The sequence below is a fragment of the Homo sapiens genome, chromosome 4 (genome assembly GCF_000001405.40).
Source record: "Homo sapiens chromosome 4, GRCh38.p14 Primary Assembly".
In the NCBI taxonomy this organism is placed as follows: Eukaryota; Metazoa; Chordata; class Mammalia; order Primates; family Hominidae; genus Homo; species Homo sapiens.
Window position 1 is genome coordinate 158,262,258 of NC_000004.12, and position 22,103 is coordinate 158,284,360.

Here is a 22,103-nt window from a genome sequence, read left to right on the forward strand (position 1 = left end):
TCACAAAATGATACACATTTTAAATTTTGATAGTTATTGCCATAATGCCCTGCAAAAAGTTGTAACTAAATTTTTGTTCTGCTAACAGATTCTCCACACACTTGCTAAAATGATTTTTAAAAATTATTTCCCAAAGTGATGTGATTTAAATGGCTTCTGAGCACCTAAGTGTGTCTGTATGTTAATTTGTGATCAGAATCATCATTTCTTCCTATGTGTATCAGGTCCTTGTATTTCCTTTTTTTGTAACTTTTTGGGTCATCTCAATATTTTTTTCTAGGAAGTTCTGGAATGTATACTTACAATTTGTAAGATCTCTTTGTATATTAAGAAGAGTTATTCCTTTACCTCTGATATGATTTTGTGTAAATATTCTCCCAGTTCGTTTTTTATTTTGATTCTATTGATGGTTACCATGCATTTAGTTCTTATATGGTAAAATGTATCAAATGTTCCTTTTTAACAGACAGGTTTTGATCACACTCTCGAGATAATTATGTTTTTAATCTCTATTATTTTGTTCTAATACTTTTATTTTCATGTTTTATATTTAAATATTTAATCCATGTGGAGTTAATTTTAGAATAAGGAATAAAAGTTTACCTTTATTATTTTTCCAAACTCCTATCAGTTAACCAAGCACCATTTATTGAATAACTCTGCTTTTCTTCAGTGTTGTAAAAAATGTTTTTAATGTATTTCAAATTATAATAGGTACTTGAATCAGTTTCTGGACTGTGTAATTTTTTGTGCTAAGATCATACAGTTATAAATATTCTGTCTCTTTCTCTCTTTTTTTAAGAGGCGTCTTGCTCTGTCACCCCAATCTAAAGTACAGTGGCATTACCATAGCTCACTGCAGCCTTGAACTCCTGGGCTCAAGTGATCCTCCTGCTCTACCTCCCAAGTAACTGGGACTGTAGGCACACACCACCACATATGCCTAATTTTTATTTTAAGAGATTAGGGTCTCTCTTTGTTGCCAAGGCTGCTCTTGAACTTCTGGCCTCAAGCAATCACCTCAGCGTTCTGAGTAGCTAGGATTACAGGTGCAAGCCACTGTATTCGGCTCCTACTGTGTCTTAATACTGTCTTAAAATTGTTTACCTCTTCCACTATCATTATTCTTCTATTTCAGGTTATTCTAGGCTATTACTTGTTTGCTTTTCCAGATGAATTTAAAATAAGACAATTAAAATTTCAAACAGACAAACATAAGAGCAACTGAACATCTGTTGGTTTTTTGATAGGACAACATCTGAATTTGCAAATTTAACTTAGGGACAGCTGACATCTTTCAACTGCTGAGTCTTCCTATTCAAAAGTACGCAATATCGTTCCACATTTTTGTTAATTTTTTCATTATACTACCACAGGGTTTTCTATTATATTATTACTATTATTTTAAAATACCAGTTCTTGATTTCATTTGTCAGTGCTACTGTTTATCTAATTTTTATATTTCTGTTTTAATCATTTCCTTTTTTACTGCATGCGAAAGGTTTTATTTAACTCCTTAGCTAATGAGGAAACCAGGAAGATCCAGTTGAAGGTGAGAATTCGAAGAATTAACATATATAGGCAAAGGAAAACTGATATAAATTTATAAATACCTTACCAGCAAAACTGATCAATAATCATCGGGCAATAATCAACTACATCTCCACCAGATGCACTTTATTTGCATCTCTAAAGATAAGTATCATTTGTGTTAATATCAGTTTTCTGCAACTTACAGAGCTATAAAACAGCTAAAGACCATGAAAGGCACAGGCCCCAACAGAATCAGATAAACTGCAGAGTGCACTAGAAAAGACACCCAACATCATCTCTTTTTCTTTCCATTTCAAAGTCGTATACAAATTTTTCTAACAGAAATATGGGGTTATTTTCTAAGGTAATATATTTAAAATAGTCATCGCAGTTCTTGGCACATCGTGGTTGATGCTAAAAAATCCTCTTCCCTGTCTTTCAGTATAATGATGTCACAGGAAGAGAGATGTCTTTCATGCAAATGAGTTGGAAAAGTGTGTAAAATAGGCTGTAGGGCTCAGAGGTGAGAATATTCACAGCTGGCAGGGAAGGTCTTCCTGGTAAAAGGGATCTGGTCACCTCAATCCTATCTCTTTTGCTTGCAACACTTATCCCAGAGAAAATCATGAAGTTCCAATACCCATACCAACATTTCTCTGTCATTTTACAGCATATACATCATGACCACTTTGGTATCTCTTTTGATACTTGAGACTCAGTACTGTAATTACTCCCATTTTTTGAAAGACGATTTTTTAGAGCAGTTTTAGGTTCACAGCAAAATTGAACAGAAGGTACAGAGATTTCCCATATACTTTCATCCTCACGTATGTGTAGCCTCCTCCTTTGTCAACATCTCTCACCAGAGTGTTACATTTGTTACAATTGGTGAACCTACATTACCAAATCCTAATCCCCCAAAGTCCATAGTTTACATTAGGGTTCACTCTTAGATGTGGTACATTGTATACGTTTGGGCAAAGTTATAATGACATGTATCCACCATTATACAGAGAGTAGTTTCACTGCCCTAAAAATCCTCTGTGCTCTGCCTATTCATCCCCTCCCCCACCACACACCCTCTCACCCCGGGAAACCACCCATCACTATCTTGTTTTAGCTTTGTTTTTTCCAGAATGTCATATCATTGGAATCAAATAGTATGTAGCCTTTGCAGATTGCCTTTTTTCACTTGGTAATATGCATTTAAGTTTTCTCCATGTCTTTTTAGGGCTTGATAGCTCTTTTTATAAGTGCTGAATAATATCCCATTATACCACAGTTTATTTATCCACTCACTTATTAAAGGACATTTTTGGCAATTATGAATACATCTGCAATACACATCCACGTGCAGGTTTTTGTGTGAACATAAGTTTTCAACTCATTTGGGTAAATATCATATAGTGTGATTGCTAGATCGCATGGTAAGAGTATGTTTAGTACTGTAAGAAACTGCCAAACTGTCTTCCAAAGTGGCTGTTCCATTTTGCATTCCCACCAGCAATGAATGAGAGTTCCTGTTACTCCACATCCTCACCGGTATCTAGTGTTGTCAGTGTTGTGGATTTTGGCCATTTTAATAGGTGTGTGGTGATATATCACATTGCTGTCTTTATTTGCTTCTCCCTGATAACATTTGCTGTGGAGCATCTTTTCATATACTAATTTGCAGTCTGTATATCTTATTTGGTGAGGTGTTTGTTCAGGTGTTTGGCCCCTATTTTAATTGTGTCGTTTGTTTTCTTCTTGAGTTTTAATATTTCTTTATATACTTTGGATAGCCATTCTTTGTCAATTATGTCCATTGCAAATATTCTTCCAGTCTTTGATTTGTCCTTTCATTCTCTTGACAGTGTCTTTTGCAAAATTTTGCAGACATTTTTAATTATAATAAAGTCCAGCTTGTCAATTGTTCCTTTCGTGGTTCATACCTTTGGTGTTGTTTCTAAAAAGTCATCACCAAATGCTAGGTCATTTGGATTTCTCCTATTTTATCTGCTAGGAGCTTTAGTTTTGCATTTTACATTCACAAAATAGTCTATGATCCATTTTGAGTTAATATTTGTGAAGGGTAAGGTCTGTGTCTAGATTCAATTATTTTATGGATATCTAGTTGTTCCAGCACAATTTGTTGAAAAGATGATCTTTTCACCATGGTATTGACTTTGTTCCTTTGTCAAAGATCATTGGACTACATTTAAGTGGGTCTATTTGGGGGCTCTCTATTCTGTCCCATTGATCTATTTGCTTACTATTTTGCCAGTACCACACTGTCTTGATTACTATAGCTTTCTAGTAAGTCTTGATGTAAGGTAGTGTCAGTCCTCCAACTTTGTTCTTTCCTTCTTTATTGCATTGACTATTCTGGGTCTTTTGCTTCTCCATATAAACTTTAGAATCCATTTGTCAGTATCCACAAAATAAATTGCTGGGATTTGGGCTGGGACTGCATTGAATCTATAGATCAAGTTAAGAACTGACACCTTAATATTATTGATCTTCCTACTGATGAACATGGAATATCTCTTATTTATTTGATTTTTATTTCTTCAGAGTTTTGTAGTTTTCCTCATATAGATTTTATACATATTTTGTTATATTTATAGCTAAGTATTTCACTTTCTGGGGCATGGGGGAAGGTGCTAATATAAATTTTATTGTTTTATAATTTCAAATTCCACTTGTTTATTGCTGGTATATAGGAAAGTGATTGACTTTTGAATATTGATTTTTATATCCTGCAACCTTGCTATAATCACTTATTAATTCCAGGAGTTTGTTTTTGTTGATTCTTTTAGATTTTCTGCATAGGTGATCATATCATTTGCAAACAAAGACAGTTTTATTTCTTCCTTCCTAATCAGCATACTATTTATTTCCTTGTCTTGTGTTATTTCATTAGCTAGACCTTCCCACAGGTCTAGCTTTGTTGAAAAGCAGTGCTGAAAAATGATATCTTTGTTCCTGATCTCAGCAGAAAAATTTGTTTCTCTTGACTATTATGTGAGCTGTAGGGTTTCATGAATATTCTTTATCAAGTTTATGAAGCTCCCCTTGATTCCTAGCTTACTGAGAGTTTTTATCATGAATGGGTTTTGGATTTTGTCAAATTCTTTCATCTATTGATATGATTTTGTGATTTTTCTCTTTTAGCCTGTCAATGTGATAGATTACATTAATTGATTTTCATGGGTTGAACCAGCCTTGCATATCTGGAATAAATCCCACTTAGTTGTGGTATGTAATTCTTTTTATACATTGTTGGATTCAATTTGTTAACATTGTGTTGAGGATTATTGCATCTATGTTCATGAGAGATATTGACCTGTAATTTTCTGTTCTTGTAATTTCTTCTTCAGATTTTGGTATTAGGGTAATGCTGGGCTCATAGAATGAGTTAAGAACTATTCCTCCTGCTTCTATATTCTAAAAGAGATTGTAGAGAATTGGTATGATTTCTACCTTAAATGTTTGGTAAAATTCACGAGTGTTTTCTCTTAGGCCTGGTGCTTTCTGTTTTGGAAAGTTATTATTTATTAATTCAATTTCTTTAATATATATACAGGCCTATTCAGGCCTATTAAATACATATATAACATTCAAATATATCAAATAGATATTCAAATATTCATATCTATTTCTTCTTGTGTGAGTTGTGGCAGATTATATCTTTCAGGGAATTAGCTATTTCATCTAGGTTATCAAATTTGTGGTCATAAGAGTTGTTCATATTATATTCCTTGGTATCCTTGTAATGTCTATAGGCTCTGGAATTATGTCTTCTCTTTTATTTTTAATATTGTGTCCTCTTTTTCATAATTAACATGGCTAGCCACCTATCAATATTATTGATCTTTCAAAGAACCAACTTTTTCATTGATTTTCTCTATTGGTCTTGGGACTTCTTTTTTTATTTTTCATCTACCTGGGTTAAGTACTTAATTCAATATTCCATATTTTAGTAAATGTGAGTACTTAGAGCTATTAATTTTTCTACAAATATAGTTTTAGACAAGTTATTAGTTTTGGTGTATAGAGTTTGTTTTCATTTTCTAGATAGTCTGCATTATTAGTTTTAATATCCTGCTTTACACAGGAATAATTAAGATAGCATTTAAAAAATTCCAGGTGGCTGGAGATTTTAAATTTTTACTTTTGTAATTTCTATTTTTCATATAATTAATATATTTTTATTTATTTAAATGTATTGAAACAGCTTTTGTGCACTAAGATAAATTTCTACAAATGTTTAATGGAAGCTTAGAAGTAAGGTTATATTAAGTGTTCTTAGATTATTAAACTTAGGACATATCTTTTAACTTTGTTCATTGTCTTTTTCACATGCTTTAAACCAAACTTTTTTCAATTTCATCTGTCAGTTAATATTTCCTGAATTTTTAAATTTGCTTTTGTATTCCCTGTAGGTTTGCTTCTTGAATTTTTATATTGTATTACTTAGTCTAGAAAGATTAATCCCAATTAGATCTTCAATACAGAGGCTAAATTATGCTACATTATCAAGTAATCCCAGAATCACAGCAGTTTACTCAAAAAGTCCATGTGTTCCTTAGGTTACATGTCCTTTGAGGTTTAGTTACACCTTGTTCCACATCTTCATTCTGGGACCAATGTTGAGGGAGCAACTTTCATTTGACACATTCTATTCTTAAGGTAGAGGGAAAAGAGAGAAGGCAGAACCATGTGATAATGCTTGAAATGTCTGTTCTAAAGAGGCACCATTATTTCCACTCATTTTTCTTTCACGGATCAATGCAAGTGTGGTTGTCAACCCTGACATCAGTGGGGTAAAACATATATTTATTCTGCAGGGACAGGTGAGTAGAGAGGTACCTGGTGGGAAACAGTCCAATAAAGAGGCACAACAACTGTTTTGCCTTTAATACATAATTAAAAGGACAAAAACAGCTGTCTTTTTTAGCAGATGTGAGCTCCCTCTAGAGACTCCTAGAAAAAGTGTGTCAGTGAATTTTAAAAGATCAGGACGAGCATTTCTCTGGAATACCATCCATCAGAGCCAAAGAGATCCTGTTTATATGATTGGCCTAGGGGAATGCTGAATATACTGAGCTAAGTCCATGTGAAGACTGTGTCCATCTTCCCTACTTTCATAAAGGATGACTTATTCTTAGGGTGACTATATTCTTTATCACATGGACTGGGATACTCTTGAGAACAAAGGGGAGTACTCTTGATAATTATATTGGACCAACAAGTAAGCCTTAGCTGATCAGGACCTATAGTCACTCTACTTATATGTCAATACCATAGATTGTAATAATTTTTTTATATTTTAATGTATTGATTCCCAGGCATGGGGTACCTTCATCGGACTCATCAAAATTCTAGAGAGCTGTTACAAGTACAGCTTCCATGGACCTTATCTATAGAATTAAAATCTCCAGGAATATTTGTGGCAGAGTGCATTAACATCAAAGCATTCAATGTTCCTCCATACCAATCACCTCCACTTCTGGCCACTCCTGCAGGAATTTTGTCCTTCCTACCCCACTATGAAGTTTAGCCATATGACTTGCTTTGATTGATGGAACGTAAATAGAGTGAAGTCTAGTCATAGCATAAACTATACGAGCCATTATGGGTTCCCCTTGTCTCTGTTTTCCCTCCACCAGGAAGATCAGCAATGTTTTTGATAAGGGCTACTCCTTTAGCCTTGGTCCTTGGGGCTCAGAAAATGATACCCCAAAATGAAGGACTCAGAGGCAAAGTTTCTTTCTCATCCTCCCCTGCCTTTCCATCTCTCACCCTTCCTTCTCCCCTGAGGCAAGCCACGGAAACTAGAATTCCTCTTCACCAAGACAGGTCATAGAAACCAGAACCCCTTTTCCCCAAAGCCAGCCATAAAAATTGGAGTAAAGGTTTCAGTAAAAATATTACTCCAACCTTTCCCAACCTTTCTGTGTAAAAGCTGGCCATAAAGAAATTAAATCCCTTATTCCTGAGGGGTCCCACCCCATACCAGGAAGGAAGAAATGCTGCACAAAGAGACCAAGAAGAATCTAAACAGGCGGGCCTTGCCGAATTTCCCCACTTTGTCTCTTCACGTTAGATTGTACCCCTGTGTTCAGTCGCATTTCTACACAACTGTCCATACTTCTTTGAAACTAAGCATAAAAATAGATAGTTTTCCCTGTATCTTTGGGTCTTCATTCTGAAGGCTCCTGTGTCAATGCAAAGCTATACTCCAATAAATTTGTCATGCTTTTTTTTGTTAACCTGCCTTTTGTTACAGAGGTGTTCGCCGTGACCGTTACAATGAAGAGGAAAGAGATCATCCCCTTTCTACTCCTACATCCCCAAGTGAAGAGGACATGGAGTACAGCCACAGCCACACTTAAAGGGCATGTAACATGAACAAAAATAAATGTTTGTTGTAAGCAATTACAATTCATGATGCATTTATTTCTATATAATAACCTGGTAGGATATGTCTGTATGTGATTTGAAAATCCTAAGCAGATTAATTTTTATGATTGATTTATTTTATTCAATACTTAATTCATTTTTTAACCTAAGTATCTTATGCAGGACATAGTATAGATTATATGTTCAATAAATAGTTATGGAATGTTTTCTTTTATCTGATTAGTCATATTTATAGTAGATTCACTATTCACTATTTAGATTCACTATTTATCAATAACCTGCACTCAATAGTTTTGGTGCATTCTTCTAATTCTGTTTATTTGTTTCCTGATAATAGAAGTATCACATGCATTCTATAGATAATTTGAAAGTATAAATGAGTATTAAAAAGAAAGCAACCACATATCATCCCCCAAACTGAGATTATCATTATTAACATTTTAGTTTATTTTCAAGCATTTCCTAAGTATATTTTAGTTATTTAATCATATTATACAGTATTCAATATATCTTTTATTTTTATAGAAGTATTTTCTGTATTATAAAACATGCTACAAAATGTTTTGATGGATATACAGCATTTCAATATATCAAAGTCATAATTGCCCTAATCCTTTCTGATATCATTTGCATCTGTGTCCCCAGCAAATCTTACACTCAATTGTAATCCCCCATGTTGGAGGGGGACCTGGTAGGAGGGGATTGGATCATGGGGGCAGAGTTCTAGTGAATGACTTAGCACCATCCCTGCTTGGTACTACATACAATATCATTCTATCACTTTTAAAGTGTGCTGTGAGACCTCACACTTTTAAAAGTTGTTTAAAAGTATGTAGCACCTCCCACTTCTCTCTCTTGCTCCTGCTCCAGCCATGTCAGATGGGTCTGCTTCCACTTCGCCTTTGGCCATCAGTAAAAGCTCCCTGAGGCTCCCCAGAAGCAGATGCTGCTGTGGTTCTTGTACAGCCTGCAGAACCATGAACCAAGTAAACCTTTCTTCTTTATGAATTACCCAGTCTCAGGTATTTCTTTTTTTCTTCTGCACAAATTAACCTTAGCAGCTTAAGGTGTTTATTTATAGCAATGTGAGAGCAGAGTAACGCACTTTCCCAATCATAAGACACTTAGATTGTTTCCAATCATCACGATCTATAATGCTGTCATGAGTACCTTTGTACTAAATCTTGTAAGCATCTCTAATTCTTTTCTTATATTAGAGTTTTGGAAGATGAACTACAGAGTCAAAGAATACAAACAATTTTAAGACTTTTAATATGTATTGTCGAGTTGATTTACGGTTAAGTTTTACCAACTTAAACACCCACAAGCACTTGCTTCACTGCACGGTCATCAGCATTGTAGCTGGTAATTATTTTAATCTTTCCAGTTGGAAAAGCAAAACTAATCTCATTGCTGTAATTTCCATGTCTAATGAGATTCAACATTTTCTTATGCTTATTAGCCATTTTCTGTTCATATGCTTCACGTTGCCATAATCTTAATATAATTTGTTCATAAGGAGTTTTAGTCAAAGCTCCTACCAACTTACCAATGAACTTTCAAAACGTATCTCATTTGAAAGTTAGAAGCTAATTATACTAGTTATATGTTGGGATGAAAGTAGAGAAGCCTAGTACCAAATCTGCTGTCAGAACCTTATACAAAGTTGGAAGTGTTCTGTACCATCAAATATGGTAGTCCCTAGCCACACGTGACTATTGAGCACTGAAATTGTGGCCACTGTGACTGAGGAACTGAATTTTTAAATTTTATTCCATTTTAGTTCATATAAACTTTATTTTTCAGAGCCATGTGTGGCCAGTGGTTACCATATTAGACAGCACAGCTCCAAGCAATTTATCTATTTCAGGAAATGGGAGAGCCTGGGCTTCATTCCTGGCCTACTAAATCCATAAGCAAGAGGAAAAAACAACACAATCAAGGGACAAACTACATCGTGTGAGGCCAGCTCAGGGTACGTATAGGATATACTCAACATGTCTTTGTTATTTTTTAATTGCTGTGACCATATCAACCTGGCACATTCACTATAACAGTAATGAACATTTTGAATGCTTACAATTGTGCCAGGGTGTGTCTCAAATGCTTTTCTCTTATTAATACAATCTTCACAATAAGCCTATGACATAGCTACTTTCATTTTCTCCATTTTACAGATTAAAAGTTGAGGCACAAAAAGGTAAGTTGCCTAGGCACATATAGCTAATAAAGCCCGGAGCCAGCTAGTCTGGCTCCAAAATCTATGCTCTTACCCATGTATTGCTCTTGGCATATAGGCATTATGGATACATAATATCTATTGTACTTAATAAAATCAAATATGCTATTGCCCAAAATGCCTTTAATAAAGGGCAAACCAACTCTGTCTCTCCAAAAAATTTTTAAAATTAGCCTGGCATGATGGCACACACCTATAGTCTCAGCTACTCAGGAGGCTGAGACAGGAGGATCGCATGAGCCCAGGAGGTCAAGGCTACAGTAAGTCATGACTGTGCCACTGCACTCTAGCCTAGGGGACAGAGCCAGACCCTGTCTCAAAAAAACAAAAAAAGAGAAAGAAAGTCAACCCACACATGAATAGAACTAGCAATTAGATCATTCGCTACAGCATTTTTCTTCACAGAACATAAGTCTAAAAGACTGACTGACAGCTTTTTACAAAGAATTGCCTTTAACTTCTACTGGGTGAGGCAAATAGCAGCAGTGCTTTGTGGTATCTGTCCTGCTCAAGCAGTTTTTCTCTGCAGGATTTATGAAAGTTGTGTTTGATAAATATTTCAAAGCTTTGCTCTCAGGGGATTGTTTTATTAAGGCTATGTCACTTTCTCATGTGAAATGTGTGTTTAGTGATTAGAATATATTGACTGACCCTTTTACTCTATAGTTTTCCAAAGCACAAAACTAATCTGCACAAACTTGACTCAACATGAAGCCAATCACAAGGCAAATCAAAAGTTCTCAAATGGGGATCAAACTTCTTTGGAGTAGAAAAAATATTTGAAAAGAGAACTGTTTCTTTAATATATAATTCCAAAAGCAGTACTGCTAACATTTTAAACACTTAAAAGATTTACAAAAAGAAAAAGAAAAATTAAGTGTCGGGGAAATCGATTAATAGCACTTATTTGCAGACACCTTGTTTCACTGTAAGTACATCTTCCTTTAGCAGTAGGGCTGCCTACGCTGCATGTTCTGCGTTCATCTGTATTAGGCAAAAACCTTGAACTACTGCATGTTGTGGTGATGTTTCAAACTCCTAAGGAACTAACTAGTGAGAAAGCAAATGATCCTTGGACTCAATTTAGAATGTTGCTTTGATGATGTACTAAATCTTACTGTTCTCTGTCTTTGACATGAAAAAGTTACAGCTGAGGATTTGGTTGAACTCTGGAAGCATCATTATTAGAACTAATACAAGGCACCGTGCAGACAGTCATGTTCAAGATCTTGAACACTACTATAATTTGCAGTGTAGTTAATGAGAAGAACACAGGGTTCGGTGTCAGAGAAACAAAAGCTAAAGTCCCAATCCTCTCACCTATTAGTAGTGTGGCACTAGATAATTTAATTAACCTCTTTCAGCCTTGGGTTCTTCATCTATTATGAAGATGTAGTATTTGCCAGACAGCTGAAAAGAGCACAAAGGAGAATGGGAAAGTTTCAGAGACTTTTCATATAAACAGGCAGAAGATGAGTACTTAAGCTGGGATCCCAGAAGACAAAAGGCCAGATCCCAAATTGGGTTAACTGCATTGCAGGAACAAAGCAAAAGCAATGGCTGGAATGATAAAAATAATGTCAGATGCATGTTAAAGTTGCAATAGAAGAAAGACAATGTGCTTGTCAGTACTCAAAACAATTTTTCAGACAGCCTTGTGCCATATTCCATATCCAGGATTCTTTAAAGGGTCTGAGAACCATTTCTGACACTTTGAAACAGTTTTTACAAAGTAAAATGAAAATGAAAAATACCAACCCTGCCTAGCACCCAGGGTTATTTGGAGTAACAAGGGAAATAATGCAAATGAAAGCATTATTATGTAAATTAACGTGCTGTACCATCCATCGAGCACTCATTAGGATGTGCTCACTGCTCTAATCAAGTATACTTAGGAGAAAGGCCTTACTTACTTCATTATCCTAGAAAATATAAACGTAAGTAGCACAACTTAATGGTTATTCTAAGCAACATTCTATCTTTGCTGCATGTATTAGGATTAAGCATGAAGCCGTAGCATCTGTGTGTGTATTGTTTAGGATTTTTTATATTTTCTCTGATGAATATTCATTTCGATTTGTTCATAATATATAGTAACTGAGCTTTTCATACACTCAATAAGGATTAATAATATATGACAAAGTTGGCCACATTGAATAATACTTTGTAGCGACATAAAGCTGTTTCCTACTTCTGGATACCTCAGTACCATTTATGGAAGGGTGCACCGTGTAGTGACTGAAAGAATAAGCTCTCATATTTTATAGACATTGGTTAAACTCCAGCTCTGCCACTTGTTATCTGGGTGGACTTTGCCATATTATATTTCGGAGTTTCAGTATCTTCTTTGACTGTAAAATGGAGAAAATCATACCTATAGAAGTTCAAAGAAAGAGTGAAATAAGACAAAGGAGGTCGTCACCAGGTCAATCCTCACCAGCTTCCCCCTTAGGTATCCACAAGTGGCTTTAACCTCAATGATTCTGCAATACTCAAGTTCTGACCTTCAGTCCTGAAAGCTCAGAAAGGAAAAATCGCCGGGGCCCCAGAGTAGACTGGCCTCAGCAATCCTGAATCAAGCTATCAAAACACAGTAGATAAGTATACATTGTTGTACATTAAGGTTTTTTCCTCTAACTTTTAAAATTAATCTTTTCCAGCTTTATTGATATATCATTGACAAATAAAAATTATATATTTAAGATATATAAAGTACTATTTTGATATATGTATACATTGTGAAATGATTACTGCCATCAAGCTAATTAATAGGCAAAACTCTTTAAATACAGCATGTTTTAATGATGTTTCATACTCCTGAGGAACTAACTAGTGAGAATGCAAATGATCCTTGGACTCAATTTAGAATGTTGCTTTGACAGTTTACTAAATCTTACTATTCTCTGTCTTTGACATGAAAAAGTTACAGCTGAGGATCTGGTTGAACACTGGAAGCATCATAATACAAGGCATTGTGCAGTCATGTTCAAGACCTTGAACATAACTGTAATTTGCAACGTACTTAATGTCATTAATCAAAAGTAATGGCAAAACCACAACTACTTTTGCACCAACCTAATAACATATGCGTCACCTCACATTGTTACCGTGTGTGTGTGTGTGTGTGTGTGTGTGGTGAGAACATTTAATATCTACTCTCTTATCAAATTTCAAGTATGTAATACAGTATTATTAACTACAGTCACCATGCTACACATTAATTTTAAGGAGAGCTTTCTGTCATGTGAACTTGTCTGCTGCAGTCTCTCCCTGAAGGTGAGCTACATGGAAAGCCAAATGAACAGAAAGGTTCTTGCTGAGTGAGGAATTTGAACAAGGAAAGTTGGTTATTTATTTAGGTGTATAACATAACTCTAGCTTTCTCCACATAGCTACATTTGTCATATGGACATAATACTCTGGCCAGTCTGGAGGGCTCCTGCTTAAGAGTATTAGATGGTCATTCTTGATATTTGCCTCCATGTTTTGTCTTTCTCTAAGCCCCTACTTTTATGAGCTTCCCTATTTATGGACAGAATATTTGAAGAAAGGCATATAACTCTCTTTTTTTTTTTGAACATCAAGAACATCCCTTTTATTTATGCCTATTTAGGAAATGATTACAGTTTTAATTAACAGTAGTTTGAAATTCCTCAGCTTTTCTTTTTTTAATTTTTTTAATTATTATTATTATTATTTAAATTATACTCTAAGTTCTAGGGTACATGTGCACAACGTGCAGGTTTGTTATATATGTATACGTGTGCCATGTTGGTGTGCTGCACCCATTAACTCATCATTTACATTAGGTATTTCTCCTTAATGCTATCCCTCCCCCTTCCCCCCACCCCACAACAGGCCCCTGTGTGTGATATTCCTCACCCTGTGTCCAAGTGATCTCATTGTTCAATTCCCACCTATGAGTGAGAACATGCGGTGTTTGGTTTTCTGTCCTTGAGATAGTTTGCTCAGAATAAAGGCATATAACTTTCAATTATTTTACAACCAAGTCTTGTAGCCCTATTCTTTTTAGGATAATTTTTTCAATTGTGTTGTGTAGCTCTCAAAAGGCAGACTTATCTCTCTCCCTTTGTGGTTTTTGGTGCACTCTTTGATGACATGGTCAAGAATTTATAAAAATGTCTACTTCACATTACCTGGCTGTTAGTAATTATTCAGTAAATGTTAGTTCATTAATTTTATTTTCCCTTGCCATGAATTTATCTTTGGCTATATCCCTACTCTACCCTCAAAGAAATAAAAGTCAAATTTTGTCTACCATCTCATGATAGTCTTCCTACTGATGTCAGTTACTACTAAAACTGTCCATTTCTCTGCAGCTGCTACTACTCTGTCATCCTAAGAGAAGAATCTCTGAAATTTTGACAGCATGTGGAAATATTCCCACTGATTATTGGATTATGAAGATGGAGAAGAGTATTTTAAAGGAGTTTTGTAGGAGCTGCAGGAGAGGATTCAGGTATATTTATATTCATAGTATATGTGTAATGCTTTGTTCCTGCTCCTTCATTACTTCTATTAAGAAGAGACAAGGAGAGAGACATGGAAATGACTAAGGCACCAAAGGAAAGGCATTTTTTACATTTCAAAGTCACAGGTAAAAAACATTTATCATTTTCATGTGGAAACATTCTTCCAAGCTGTAACTAATAATGGTCTCTCCTACTATTTCCTCCCACTTCTGCAGCTGCTAAAACACCTTTGCCACCAGCTCCGACAATCAAACCATGCCTTTGGATTTCTTCAGTTTCTAAAGGGGAACATCTTTTTAAAGCCTTTGTTGTATTAATTAAGAATCCAGGGCCAAGCCCGTGGCTCATGCCCATAATCCCAGCACTTTGTGAGGCCAAGGCAGGTAGATCACCTGAGGTCGGGAGTTCGAGACCAGCCTGACCAACATGGAGAAACCCCGTATCTATTAAAAATACAAAATTAGCCAGGCATAGTGGCATATGCCTGTAATCGCAGCTATTCAGGAGGCCGAGGCAGGAGAATCGCTTGAATATGGGAGGTGGAGGCTGTGGTGAGCCGGGATCGTGCCATTGCACTCCAGCCTGGGTGACAAGAGCGAAACTCTGTCACCAAAAAAAAAAAAAAATTCAGTGGCTGGCATAGAGTCAAGAAACTCTATGAACAGAAGATAACTGACTTAGCAGCAGCAGAGTAAGCCTCCAAAAAGAAGCAAGATCTTTGAAAGTGGCTGGGAGAGCTCCCAACTGAATAGGCTTCAGCCTCCCACTGTCAGTACTTAAGGTTCAAATGCCTCAGGCTGCGGGAGGGGACGGGGTGGAGACTGGCCATGTCGGAGGTGACCTGGAGTCTGCTGCAGCTCTGGGGCGCCAGTTTTAGGAGAGGCGCCAACTTCGACTTTTGGGGCCAGCCGGTGGAGGCGATAGATGAGTATCAGATATTAGCAAGACATCTACAAAAAGAGGCCCAAGCTCAACACAATAATTCTGAATTCACAGAAGAACAAAAGAAAACCATAGGCAAAATTGCAACATGCTTAGAATTGTGAAGTGCAGCTTTACAGTCCACACAGTCTCAAGAAGAATTTAAACTGGAGGACCTGAAGAAGCTAGAACCAATCCTAAAGAATATTCTTACATATAATAAAGAATTCCCATTTGATATTCAGCCTGTCCCATTAAGAAGAATTTTGGCACCTGGTAAAGAAGAGAATTTGGAATTTGAAGAAGAAGAAGAGGGTGGTGCTGGAGCAGGATCTCCTGATTCTTTTCCTGCTAGAGTTCCCGATGCTTTAGATACCAGGGTTGCCATTGGAACCAGGAATGACATTACTCACTATCAGAATTGAGAAAATTGGTTTGAAAGATGCTGGGCAGTGCATCGATCCCTATATTACAGTTAGAGTAAAGGATCTGAATGGCATAGACTTAACTCCTGTGCAAGATACTCCTGTGGCTTCAAGAAAAGAAGATACATATGTTCATTTTAATGTGGACATTGAGCTCCAGAAGCATGTTGAAAAATTAATCAAAGGTGCAGCTATCTTCTTTGAATTCAAACACTACAAGCCTAAAAAAAGGTTTACCAGCACCAAGTGTTTTGCTTTCATGGAGATGGATGAAATTAAACCTGGGCCAATTGTAATAGAACTATACAAGAAACCCACTGACTTTAAAAGAAAGAAATTGCAATTGTTGACCAAGAAAACACTTTATCTTCGTCTACATCAAACTTTGCACAAGGAATGATACTGACATGATGAACCTGGAACTTCTGTGAATTTTACCAGTCAGTAGAAACCATCATAGCTCTGTGTAGCGTATTCACCCTTCAACAGGCAGGAAGCAAGCCGTACCCAGACCAGTAGGCCGGAAGGAGTCCAGTGCAAAGCTGTACCACAGAATTCAGAGTCCAGCACATCACTGACGTATAGGACTCCTTTGGATACAGGTTTATTGTAGATTTGGAAACATGTTTTTACTTTTCTATTAATTGGGCAATTAATAGTCTATTTTCTAATTTACCACTACTCCTACCCTGCTTCCTGGAACAATACTGTTGTGGGTAGGATGTGCTCATCTTCAAACTTAATACAGCAATAAGAATGTCCTAGAGTTTACACATCTGTTCACTTTTGCTCCAATATGCTCTTTTGACTTAACTTCAAGCTTTGGGTTGATGTGGGTAGGGTAGTGTCAAACTGTTTTAAGAGGAATTGGACCAGTTCTGCTGCCTAAGAAGGTCTGTCTGGATGTTTATAGGCAGCTCCTCTGAAGTGGCCTAAATTCACCCTGATCTGATAGTTTTCCTGCCTAGAAAGTGTGCCTTGGCCAGATCAGTATCCCACATGGGAGTGTTCCCTAGGTTGTAGCGTGATTGTTTCCAGATGACCAGATTGTTTTTCTGAAAATGAGCATATTTTTAGTCATGTTGATTAGCTGTTCTTCTACATCACATTGTTACTCTTTCTGATGATGATTCTAGGGTTAACATTGGAACCATCTCAAAATAATTACAAATTTTTAGATGGGTTTACAATGTCTTCTAAACAATATAATCTAAAAATAATTGAGTCAGATGCTAACGAGATACTGAAGGCATAACTGCTGTTTTTCTGGCAACTGATTATGAAACCTTAAAACCTGCATACCTCTTCTTATAGTGAGGAATATTCAAAATCTGGAAAGATATTCTATTTTTTTATATAGGTAGATAGGATCACCATTTATTTCCTATTTAGATATACTGACATTCATCCATATGAAAATATGCAGGTCATTAGCTTACTATAATTTTACTATTTACTTTTGACTTAATGGGGCATAAATAAAACTTTCTTAGTACACATGAGGTGGATATTTGATACACAGAACATTTGTGGTGGGCTTTCTGTGGGTTAGATGTAAAGCCCACGTATTTTAATATTCACTATTTTAAATGAGCAATGCATGAGGGGAATGCAGTGTCAGTACCTGGCCTATTTTTAAACTAGTGTAATCACCCTAGTCATACCATTCAGTATGTTTGCTTTTTAAAATAAGTAACCACAATTAAGTTGTTGTAGCCCTTGCACTTCAAGAGATTTAGTCCTTCCTTTCAGTTGTCTGTTAGGTCCATTCTGTTTACTAGACGGATGTTAATAAAAACTATGTGAGCCTGAACGTATTCTCGGCCAAATTTAGTCTTGTCTCTCATCTTGATTGGATTAATTCTAAAGTCTAAAATGATTCAGTCCACAATAGCTCTAGGGGATGAAGAATTTGCCTTACTTTGTTGTTCGCTCAGTTCCTAAGACTGTGAGTTGTCAAATCCCTAGACTGTAAGCTCTTCAAGGAGCAAGAAGCACATTTTCTCCGTGTCATGTAATTTTTCTAAGGTGCTTGGCAGCACTCTGTACCCTGTGGAGTACTCAGTACCTTTTGTTTGATGTTGCTGACAAGACCTAAAAAACAATCCCTTAAAAAAAAAAACCATTAAAAGGTAGCAAAACCGATGTATTATTTTTTCTCTTTTCTCATAAACCGCAAGATATGTATATCAAAGTGATAATTTGTATGAAGCATCTGCTATCCTTCACGTGAGTATGGTTTATATGAACTACAAATACCTTTCATCAACATTAAAGAAGCTTAAATTGAAAAAAAAAAACTTAGGTTGTCTACGATATTAAAATTGCCAATCATGTTTAGGCGTGGGCCACTAAATTCTAATTTTTTCTTTTGCTTCTAATAAATATGGGCAGTGTCTACAAGCGTTATTGTTCCATCCTGACTTTTTGCACAAAAAGTCTTGACTTGTCTACTAAGGTATCAAGATATTCAAGATTTTTCTGGACAACACATTCAACACAATGTTCCTTTTTGACATTTTATTATAACTAGCCCAAACAATTAACTTTCTGCAAAAACATCTCTGAAGATAGATATAAACGCCATACATAAGTAGTTCTAATGTTTGAAAACTGTTGGAAGACATGTTGTTATATGAAAAGAAGTGTTTCTTTTCATTTTATTCTCAGTAATTTGAACAATAAGCTAGCAATTTGTCAACATTTAGACAGGCCAGTGGAGCTATCAGTAGTCATTGTGGGAGCGTTTCACAAAAATTAGATTTGGCAATAATTAGGCAGCTGTATGGGATGAGGCTGGGGCAAAGTCAGAGGATAAGCATTCGTCCCCTGGCTAGAAATTAGAGACGTGTACTCGCTTAGTATGTGGGGAGAGGAATAAGACTGAAAGAAATTCTACATTTTAAACTTTAATGTCATTTAAAATACCCTTTTAAATCATGTTGAACTCCTGGATACTAGAGAAATATATTATACCTTTTCATTATTCTAAGACCAAGTTCATTATAAATCATTTGTATTGCTTCAGTAAAAACTTAGGATCTTCAAATATTTTGTCAATAATAGTATGTGCAATTCCTATAGTTTCCCTTTTAAAACATTTCCATCAATTGCTTTATTTCTAAAATTTTTTATTTTATATGACCTAAGTTATTAAGACAAAAGGAGGTATTAAAAAAAAAATCAGAATGTGTGTGACTTATTTGGATTTCCCTCAACATTTAAAAAAAAAAAAGTTTCCATAGCTACCTGAATACTGTGCTCAGTTCGATTTTTTTAAAGGTAGGTACATGGTCTTCAGAGCTTTTATATATTAAATTAGAGTTACACTAAATTAAAATTTTTAAATAACCTATAAATTATTACTTCAATTGCAATCTATCAAGGAGTGTGAAAGCAAAGCTTGAGCTAACTCCCAACCCCTACAATACTTCTTAGGTTCTAGAAAGTTTAAATGATTTAAGTAGAATTCCTTTTTAATTAGTATTCTAAAATCCAAAAAATGGCACTATTGGCAAGTAAGATTATTAAGAATGTCATTAAAATTAATTAGCTATTGATCAGAAGATATGTGAACAGAGAATAGTGGAATGTTCTTCCATTGTTCTTCTCTTCCAAATGGAAGAGAAGAAAAGGTGGAATTGGAAGGTGAAATGTTACACAGTAGGACAACCAGCATCAGAGGAAGCAAAGTGATGTCCTGATTTTGAATTTGGGGGTTACTTTAGACTTCATTCAAAATAAGAGTGAGTAAGTTTCATAAAAAAAGCCACCTCTTCACTTCATCTGTAAATCTATAATGTGAGGAATTGGACTATACTATATTTGTGAGCCTCCCACCAAAATACACCATTATTGATGAATTTTCTTTCACATATATCCATATCATGAAGATTTCATACTGGCCCTGAAGTTCAGAGCTATTATAGCTTTTATGCTGAAATCTGCCAAATAATTTAAAAACATGCTTTAGTCTTAAGTTTATTTAAATGTGTTTAAGTTACAATGATAGAAGAATTATAGAAGATATTCAGCTCCGGGGATAAGAGAAATGTCCCATTAACAGACCTAGCAGGTTTCTGCTTTTAAGAAAGAAGTCCAGTTATCGGGAGAAATTGGTCAGACCCATGTTAGCAGGAAGGCTGATGCAATCATGAGCCACTGTGACACTCCTCTAGGACTCATAGCCCATGATTGTCCCAGAGTTCGTGGCTGGGTTGAAGTCAGGGAGAATCAAGTGGCCTGCACTTAGTTTAGAGTGTCCCTGCAGCAAAAAAAGTCAGGAAGATTTTCACTTTTACTCTGTGTTCTATCAAAGTCAGGAGTTAGCTGACTACATTTGAAAATACATTTTGGGGAAAATTTTACCCTTGCCAAAAATACTCACTGGAAAAGTGAATCTACTTTTCATATGTCTAAACAGATGTCAAAGGTGCCATGAATTATATTAGCATAATTACACTTTTCAAAAATTCCAAGGCATTAGTCTCCCATAGAAACACATCAATGAAAATAGATGCTTGAGCAACAAATATAAATGGAATAAGCAAATCTTACCTGTCAATTATCATTATCAAAGGTATATTTTGATTAAGTCGGTAAATTGTTTTGCATTTATTCATGTAGAATAAATTGGAACTAGCAATGACATTAAAAGCAAAAATTATATATTTAACTATCCTATATCTTTATTTTCTAAATGTACAATGGCCTGAATTTTTTGGGAAAAAAAAGGTACTGTTTTCCCCCTCGATAAGTTAGCCATGATACACACACAAAAAAAATGAGTATTATTAAGCTAATCAGAATGTATAAGACTTTTAAATATAAAATATTCTTATTTTACCAATTATTTTAAATTTTAATAATTACATAGAATATTTTTAAAGTTTTTCTTAGAGGTTGTCTCTCATTAAGAAATGTGCAAGCAGAGTAAATGTGAGATCAATCATGTACAGCAATGCTAAAATAAATGTAAGATTTTTGAATGGATGACTGATTAATAACCACAAAACAATTTCTAAATATGATTATCCACTAAAAAGGAACCAAGTATTATTAAGAAACGGCCAATCCAGAGTTGGGGCAGGAAAAGTACAAGATTAGCCTTGGCCAACTTGTGCCAAGAAATAAGGAAATTCTCAGGAATGATGGGGACCTGTGAAAAGGATCCAGAAGACAGTTTGGAGAGAGTTTAACTGGAAAAATTAAGCCAATTTGAGAATCAAATTAAATAAGAACATAAATGAATCAGAACTCATCAAATAAAATAAAAATCTATGAATCCATACTGATATAAATAATAAAGAAAAAATGCTTTATCTTAGAGCTCTACTAACAAATATAGAAAGAATGATAAAATTAGAATTACCCAAATTAACAAATTGCCATTGGGCAATTTTCATAGTAATAATTGATTCAGATGAGAAACACCAATATGTGAAAGTTTAATGAGAACAGAATATTGTATATTACTGTCTGGGCACAGTGGTTCACGTCTGTAATCCCAGCACTTTGGGAGGCTGAGACGCACAGATCACCTGAGGTCAGGAGTTTGAGACCAACCTGGCTGACATGGTGAAACCCTGTCTCTACTAAAAATACAAAAAATTAGCCAGGCATGGTGGCGGGCACCTGTAATCCCAGCTACTTGGGAGGCTGAGGCAGGAGAATCGCTTGAACCCAGGAGGCAGAGATTACAGTGAGCCAAGACCATGCCCCTGCACTCCAGCCTGGGTGACAAGAGCAAGACTACGTCTCAAAAACAAAAACAAAAAAAGAATATTGTATATTACTGGGAGTATGCATGTAAATATGACATAATATTAATAACTGAGGCATTTGGGTAAAGGGCATACAGATTTCTATGTACCCTCCTAACTATTTTTGGAAATGTAACGGTATATCAAAATTTTACTTACCCCAAAATCTACCACTTCAGACCCATACAGCCTCCTAAAGAGTATTTTTATTTATTAACTATGTTTTATTCTTAAATCTATTCTTTCATTCAGAATTTATATAGACTTCCTGTGGGTATATTTGAAATACAAGGGGAAACATATTTTTAAATAGTTCCAAATA

The 22,103-nt window shown here is 35.5% G+C and overlaps 1 pseudogene, besides 1 other annotated feature; it reads left to right on the top strand.

The window, feature by feature from the left end:
* Nucleotides 11,824-12,325: an enhancer, noted in NCBI's record as "NANOG hESC enhancer chr4:159195233-159195734 (GRCh37/hg19 assembly coordinates)". NCBI's record gives its function as "activates a minimal SCP1, AML or CMV promoter by ChIP-STARR-seq in primed H9 embryonic stem cells {active_cell/tissue: H9 hESC(primed)}" and the evidence as "EXISTENCE:reporter gene assay evidence [ECO:0000049][PMID:30033119]".
* AIDAP2 (AIDA pseudogene 2) lies at nucleotides 15,473-16,616 on the top strand (annotated as a pseudogene).
* Nucleotides 16,617-22,103: the final 5,487 nt, after the last annotated feature.